The 7,797-nt window shown below is 45.4% G+C and overlaps 1 annotated feature.

The window, feature by feature from the left end:
• Positions 1,103-2,030: an enhancer, noted in NCBI's record as "OCT4-NANOG hESC enhancer chr20:32741705-32742632 (GRCh37/hg19 assembly coordinates)". NCBI's record gives its function as "activates a minimal SCP1, AML or CMV promoter by ChIP-STARR-seq in naive and primed H9 embryonic stem cells {active_cell/tissue: H9 hESC(naive and primed)}" and the evidence as "EXISTENCE:reporter gene assay evidence [ECO:0000049][PMID:30033119]".

Raw genomic sequence — 7,797 nt, forward strand, 5'->3', positions numbered from 1 at the left:
CCGGAAGGAAGAAACTCTGGACACATCTGAACATCTGAACAAACTCCGGACACACCATCTTTAAGAACTATAACACTCAGCACGAGGGTCTGCAGCTTCATTCTTGAAGTCAGCAAGACCAAGAACCCACCAGAAGGAACCAATTCCGGACACATTTTGACAACCCAGATGGGACACATTTTGGTGACTCCACCAGGACAGTCACCAAGCAGTGAGTACCTTTGGACCCCTTTCACTTGCTATTCTGTCCTATTTTTCCTTAGAATTTGGGGGTTAAATACTGGGCACCTGTCAACCAGTTAAAAGCGACTAGTGCGGCCACCAGACTAAAGACATGGGTGTCAGGCTTTCTGGGAAAGCACTCTCTAACAACCCCCAACTCTTCATAGTTGGGAGCGTTGGTTTGCCTGGAACCAGCTGCCGCTTTCCCTGTACTTCCGGGCTGAGCTGAGGGTTGACAGAATGGAAAGCCATTCAGCTCTGGGGTCCCAACAACAAGTCGGTTGACACTGCAGCCATGAGTGGAACTCTCAAAGTCATGTCACCCAAGCGAGACTCGCCCATCTATCATATCTATCCTGACCCTTGCCTCCTGGGTCCTAATGCTTGTCAGACAAACTTCCTCTCACCTCTCTTCTCCAAGGCTAGTCCCACTTCTAAAAACCACTCCTTGTCTCTGGTGCTTTTCTAGTTTCTCCTATAAGAATGATCTCTAGTATAAACTACAGGACTCTATTCCCTTCTTTAGGCACCCAGGCTCACTAATCAGAAAGACACAATTTTTGCCCAAAGCCCCGTTGGGGGCGGGGGACTATCTTATCTGGAATTTTAGTATCCCTCCTCAGACTAGCAGGCCTAACAAAAGCTATTCCTGAAGCTAGGATATGGGGAGCCTCAGAAATGATATCCTTCCTGTTCAAGTGAGGACAAAAGGCATCAGTCTTCCAACCCTGGAGATCCCTTCCCTCCCTCAGAGTATGGCCCTCCACTTCATTTTTGGGGCATAACATCTTTATAGGATGGGGTAAAGTCCCAATACTAACAGGAGAACACTTAGGACTCTAACAGGTTTTTGAGAATGCGTCAGTAAGGGCCACTAAATCCAATTTTTCTTGGTCCTTTTTGTGGTCTAGGAGAACAGGCAAGGGCGCAGGTTTTTAAGAATGCATTGGTAAGGGCCAGTAAATCCGACTTTCCTTGGTCCTCCTTGTGGTCTAGGAGGAAAACTAGTGTTTGTGCTGCTGCGTCGGTGAGCGCAACTATTCTGATCAGCAGGGTCCAGGGACCGTTGTGGGTTCTTCGGCAGGGGGAGAAACAAACAAACCAAAACCATGGGTGGTTTTGTCTTTCAGATGGGAAACACTCAGGCATCAACAGGCTCACCCTTGAAATGCATCCTAAGCCATTGGGACCAATTCGACCTGCAAATCCTGAAAAAGAGGTGGCTCAATTTTTTCTGCACTATGGCTTGGCCCCAATATTCTATCTCTGATGGGGAAAAATGGCCACCTGAGGGAAGTATAAATTACAATACTATCCTGCAGCTTGACCTTTTCTGTAGGAGGGAAAGCAAATGGAGTGAAATACCTTATGTCCAAGCTTTCTTTTCACTGAAGGAGAATACACAACTATGCAAAGCTTGCAATTTACATCCCACAGGAAGACCTCTCAGCTTACCCCCGTATCCTAGCCTCCCTATAACTCCCCTTCCTATTAATGATAATCCTCCTCTAATCTCCCCCACCAAGAAGGAAACAATCAAAGAAATCTCCCAGGGACCACAAAAACCTCCAGGCTATCAGTTATGTCCCCTTCAAGCTGTAGGGGGAGGGGAATTTGGCCCAACCTGGGTACATGTCCCCTTCTCCCTCTCTGATTTAAAGCAGATCAAGGCAGAGCTGGGGAAGTTTTCAGATGATCCTGATAGGTATATAGATGTCCTACAGGGTCTAGGGCAAACCTTCGATCTCACTTGGAGAGATGTCATGCTATTGTTAGATCAAACCCTGGCCTTTAATGAAAAGAATGTGGCTTTAGCTGCAGCCTGAGAGTTTGGAGATACCTGGTATCTTAGTCAAGTAAATGATAGAATGACAGCTGAAGAAAGGGACAAATTCCCTACCGGTCAGCAAGCTGTCCCCTGTATGGATCCCCACTGGGACCTCAACTCAGATCATGGGGACTGGAGTTGTAAACATCTGTTGACCTGTGTTCTAGAAGGATTAAGGAGAATTAGGAAAAAGCCCATGAATTATTCAATGATGTCCACCATAACTCAGGGAAACTAAGAAAATCCTTCTGCCTTCCTCAAGCGGCTATGAGAGGCCTTAAGAAAATATACTCCCCTGTCGCCTGACTCACTCGAGGGCCAATTGATCCTAAAAGATAAGTTTATTACCCAATCAGCCACAGATATCAAGAGAAAACTCCAAAAGTGAGCCCTGGGCCCTGAACAAAATCTGGAGGCATTATTAAACCTGGCAACCTCAGCGTTCTATAATAGAGACCAAGAGGAACAGGCCAAAAAGGAAAAGCGAGATCAGAGAAAGGCTGCAGCCTTAGTCATGGCCCTCAGACAAACAAACCTTGGTGGTTCAGAAAGGAGAGAAAATGGAGCAGGTCAATCACCCAGTAGGGCTTGTTATCAGTGGTGTGCAAGGACACCTTAAAAAAGATTGTCCAACAAGAAACAAGCTGCCCCCTCACCCATGTCCACTATGCCGAGGCAATCACTGGAAGGCACGCTGCCCCAGAGGACAAAGGTTCTCTGGGCGAGAAGCCCCCAACCAGATGATCCAGCAACAGGACTGAGGGTGCCTGGGGCAAGCGCCAGCTCATGTCATCACCCTCACTGAGCCCCAGGTATGTTTAACCATTAAGGGCCAGGAAATTGACTTCTTCCTGGACACTGGCGCAGCTTTCTCAGTGTTAATCTCCTGTCCCGGACAGCTGTCCTCAAGGTCTGTTACCATCTGAGGAATCCTGGGACAGCATGTAACCAGGTATTTCTCCCACCTCTTCAGTTGTAATTGGGAGACTTTTCTACAGATAGTAAGTATACTTATCTAATCCTACATGCCTATGCTGCAATATGGAAAAAAGGGAATTTCTAACCTCTGGGGAAACCCCCATTAAATATCACAAGGAAACCATGGAGTTATTGCACACAGTGCAAAACCCCAAAGAGGTGGCAGATGGAGTTACTGCACGCAGTGCAAAACCCCAAAGAGGTGGCAGTCTTACACTGCCGAAGGGAAGTGAGAGGGGAGAACAAAAGGGAAGGAGAAGGGGAGAACAACAGCATAAGTGGCTGGCAGGGGCAGGGAAAGACCAACAGAGAGTTAAAGAGAGAGACAGAGAGAGACAGAGACAGAAAGTGAGAGAGAGAGATGAAGTGATAAAGACAAAGAGGGAGTCAGAAAGAAAAGGGGTGGGGGAAGACAGAAAGAGAGAAGGAAATAGAGGAAGAGGCAAAGGAGTCAAAGAGAGAGAAAGAGATAGAAGTAGTAAAGAAAAAACAGTGTACCCTATTCCTTTAAAAGCCAGGGTAAAGTTAAAACCTATAATTGATAATTGAAGGCCTTCTCTGTAACCCTATAACACTCCAATACCATCTTGTTGTTAGTGTAAACAAGGGTATAGCCCGAAAGCACTGAGGCCACTGACAAGCCATAGCCTTCCTATCAAAAATCCTTAACCCAGCAAGTTTCCTAACAGGGGATCTAAATCTTAATTAATTACCATACAAAGGTCTGACCAGACCAAGGAGGAATTCCCTTCAGGACAGGAGATAGATGTTTCCTCCCAGGCGATTAAGGGAAAAAGACACAATGGGTATTCAGTAAGTGATAAGGAAACTCTTGTAGAAGCAGAATTAGGAAAATTGCCTAATAATTGGTCTGCTCAAATATGTGAGCTGTTTGCACTCAGCCAAACCTTAAAGTACTTACAGAATCAGGAAGGAGCCATCTATACCAATTCTGAGTTAATATGAACTGAACAAGGTTTTATTAATAGCAAAGAAAAATTAAAATCCCAAACTTACAAGGTTTTCAACTAAAGTAAAGTTTGCTAAAAGTTAACAGTGTAACATGTATTATCCTACTACCACACACTGTCAAAGGATTTCTCAGACAGTTTGCAAGAAAAAACGAAATCTATCCTTACTCTACAATCCCAAATAGACTCTTTGATAGCATTGACTCTCCAAAACCACTGAGGCCTAGACCTCCTCACTGCTGAGAAAGGAGGACTCTGCACCTTCTTAGGGGAAGAGTGTTGTTTTTACACTAACCAGTCAGGGATAGTACAAGATGCCACCCAGCGTTTACAGGAAAAGGTTTCTGAAATCAGACAATGGCTTTCAAACTCTTACACCAACCTCTGGAGTTCAGCAACGTGGCTTCTCCCCTTTCTAGGTCCTGTGGCAGCCATCTTGCTATTACTTGCCTTCAGGCCCTGTATTTTTAACCTCCTTGTCAAATTTGTTTCCTCTAGGATCGAGGCCATCAAGCTACAGATGGTCTTACAAATGGAATCCCGAATGAGCTCAACTAACAACTTCTACCAAGGACCCCTGGACCAATCTGCGGGCCCTTTCACTGGCCTAAAGAGTTCCCCTCTGGAGGACACTACAACTGCAGGGCCCCTTCTTCACCCCTATCCAGCAGGAAGTAGCTAGAGTGGTCATTGCCCAATTCCCAACAGCAGTTGGGTTGTCCTGTTTAGAGGGGGTATTGAGAGGTGAAGCCAGCTGGACTTCCTCCATCAAGTGAGGACTTGGAGAACTTTTCTGTCTAGCTAAAGGTTTGTAAACGCACCAGTCAGCACTCTGTAAAATGAACCAATGAGCGCTCTGTAAAATGGACCAATCAGCAGGACATGGGCAGGGCCAAATAAGGGAATAAAAGCTGGCCACCTGAGCCATCAGTGGCAACCCGTTCGGGTCCCCTTCCACAGTGTGGAAGCTTTGTTCTTTCACTCTTCACAATAAATCTTGCTGCTGCTCACTCTTTGGGTTAGCACTACCTTTATGAGCTGTAACACTCACCACGAGGGTCTGTGGTTCCATTCCAGAAGTCAGCAAGACCACAAACCCACTGGGAAGAACAAACAACTCCAGACGTGCCACCTTTAACAGCTGTAACACTGACTGCGAAGGTCTGTGGCTTCACTTCTGAAGTCAGCAAGACCACGAACCCACCAGAAGGAAGAAACTCTGGACACATCTGAACATCTGAACAAACTCCAGACACAACATCTTTAAGAACTGTAACACTCACCACGAGGGTCCGCAGCTTCATTCTTGAAAGTCAGCGAGACCAAGAACCCACCGGAAGGAACCAATTCCAGACACAATATTACCTCAGAAACTCCGCTTGTGCCTCTTCTCAGTCAATCCCATACCCCCCGCCCCCAGTGCACACACACATATCAAGGCAATTGTTATGGATTTCTGTCACTATAAATTAGATTTGTCTTTCCTAAAGTTTCAATTAAATGGAATAATATACTATATACTCTTGTGTCTGGCTTCTTTCCCTCAGCATGATGTTTTTGAGGTTTACCCATGTTGTTGTACATTAGTTCATTCTGTTTTTTGCTAAGGTTTAATTAGACTTATATAACAAATACTGGGCATGGTGGCATTACAGTAACTCAGGAGGCTAAGGTGGGAGGATCAATTTGAGGGCAGGAGAGTTTTGAAAGCAGTCTGGGCAACATAGCGAGACCCTGTCTCTACAAAAAAACAAAACAAAACAAAACATTAGCCGGGTGTGGTGGCTTCTGCCTGTATTCCCAGCTGCTTGGTGTGGGGAAAAGAAAGATCAGATCGTTACTGTGTCTATGTAGAAAAAGGAAGACATAAAGAAACTCCATTTTGATCTGTACTAAGAAAAATTGTTCTGCTTTGAGATGCTGTTAATCTGTAACTCTTGTCCCAACCCTGTGCTCACAAAAACGTGTGCTGTATTCAATCAAGGTTTAATGGATCTAGGGCTGTGCAGGGTGTGCCTTGGTAAAAATGCGTTTGCAGGCAGTATACTTGGTGAAAGTCATCGCCATTCTCCATTCTCTATTAACCAGAGACACAATGCACTGCGGAAGGCTGCAGGGACCCCTGCCCAAGAAAGCCTGGGTATTGTTCAGGTTTCCCCTCACTAAGACAGCCTGAGATATGGCCTCGTGGGAAGGGAAAGACCTTACAGCCCCCCAGCCTGACACCCGTAAAGGGTCTATGCTGTAGAGGATTAGTGAAAGAGGAAGGCCTCTGTGCAGTTAAGAGGAAGGCATCTGTCTCCTGCACATGCCTGGGAATGGAATGACTTGGTATAAAACCGACCACACATTCTATTCTGAGATAGGAGAAAACCTCCTTATGGCTGGAGGTGAGACATCATGGCGGCAATACTGCTGTTACTCTTTACTGCCCTGAGGTGTTTATGTAAAGTTAAACATAAATCTAGCCTACGTGCACATCCAGGCACAGCACCTTTCCTTAAACTTATTTATGACACAGAGTCTTTTGCTCACATGTTTTTCTGCTGACCCTCTCCCCACCATTACCCTATAGTTATGCCACATTCCCCGGCCGAGATAGTAAAGATAGTGATCAATAAATACTGAGGGAACTCAGAGACCAGTGCTGGTGCAAGTCCTCACCTGCTGAGCGCTGGTCCCCTGGGCCCACTTTTCTTGCTCTATACTTTGTCTCCGTGTCTTATTTCTTTTCTCAGTCTCTTGTCTCCACCTTGGGAGACAGGAGTAGGCCCCCTTCAGCTTGGGAGGCTGGGGCAGGAAGATCACTTGACCCCAGGAGTTCGAGGCCGCACTAAGCTATGATCATGGCACTGCACTCTAGCCTGGGTGTCAGAGCAAGACTAAATCTCCAAAAAAATTAAAAAATAAAAAAGTAATTTGAAAAATTAATGTAAAAAGATTTATATACCATACTTTGTTTATCTAGTCAACTTTCGATGGACATTTGGGTCATTTCCAGTTTCTAGCTATACAAGGCTGCTGTGAACATTTGTATACAAGTCTTTGTCAGCACTCACTTTAACGTATGGTATAGCTAATAAATTTGTCTAGGAAGATGCTACTACCCCATCACCACTAGCCAAAGTATATGTATGTGTGGCCAGGAGTAGAGGGGAGGGCAGCATGAAGAATTTGTCTCAGGCCCGGACAATCATAGTTCCTCATTCCCCTGGCAACAGTAATTGGTCCAAGGAGCAGGCATATGACCCAGAAAGGTTAGTTAGAGTCTTTTCCCAAAAGAAAGAAAAAAAAAATTTCTTCTTGGGTTGCTAAAATGGGACAATGTGTACTTGAGGTTATACAGGCTGGCCTTGAACTCCTGACCACAATTTTCTGCACTGGTTGTATAGAGGCAGCCCTTCTACAGCAGGAGAAAATCAGAACAATGAGTAAGGGAAAATGGGGTGGGGGAGACAGAAAGAATCCCTGCCTCCTCCATAAATTAGACTTATGCCAGACAGGAACACTCATGTTTAGACAAAATTGGGAGTCTGAAATAAACCTAATAAAGAAGAAACTAGAGGTTAGAAGAGAATGGACATAGTAGATACGGCTGAAATTAAAATACAAAATTAAAAAATGCAAAAATTGGCCAGGCGCAGTGGCTCATGCCTGTAATCCTAGCAGTTTGGGAGGCCGAGGTGGGTGGATCACCTGAGGTCAGGAGTTCAACACCAGCCTGACCAACATGGTGAAACCCCATCTCTACTAAAAATATAAATAATTAGCTGGGCGTGGTCGTGGGCACCTGTAACC

This window comes from Homo sapiens, chromosome 20, assembly GCF_000001405.40.
Source record: "Homo sapiens chromosome 20, GRCh38.p14 Primary Assembly".
NCBI classification, from domain to species: domain Eukaryota; kingdom Metazoa; phylum Chordata; class Mammalia; order Primates; family Hominidae; genus Homo; species Homo sapiens.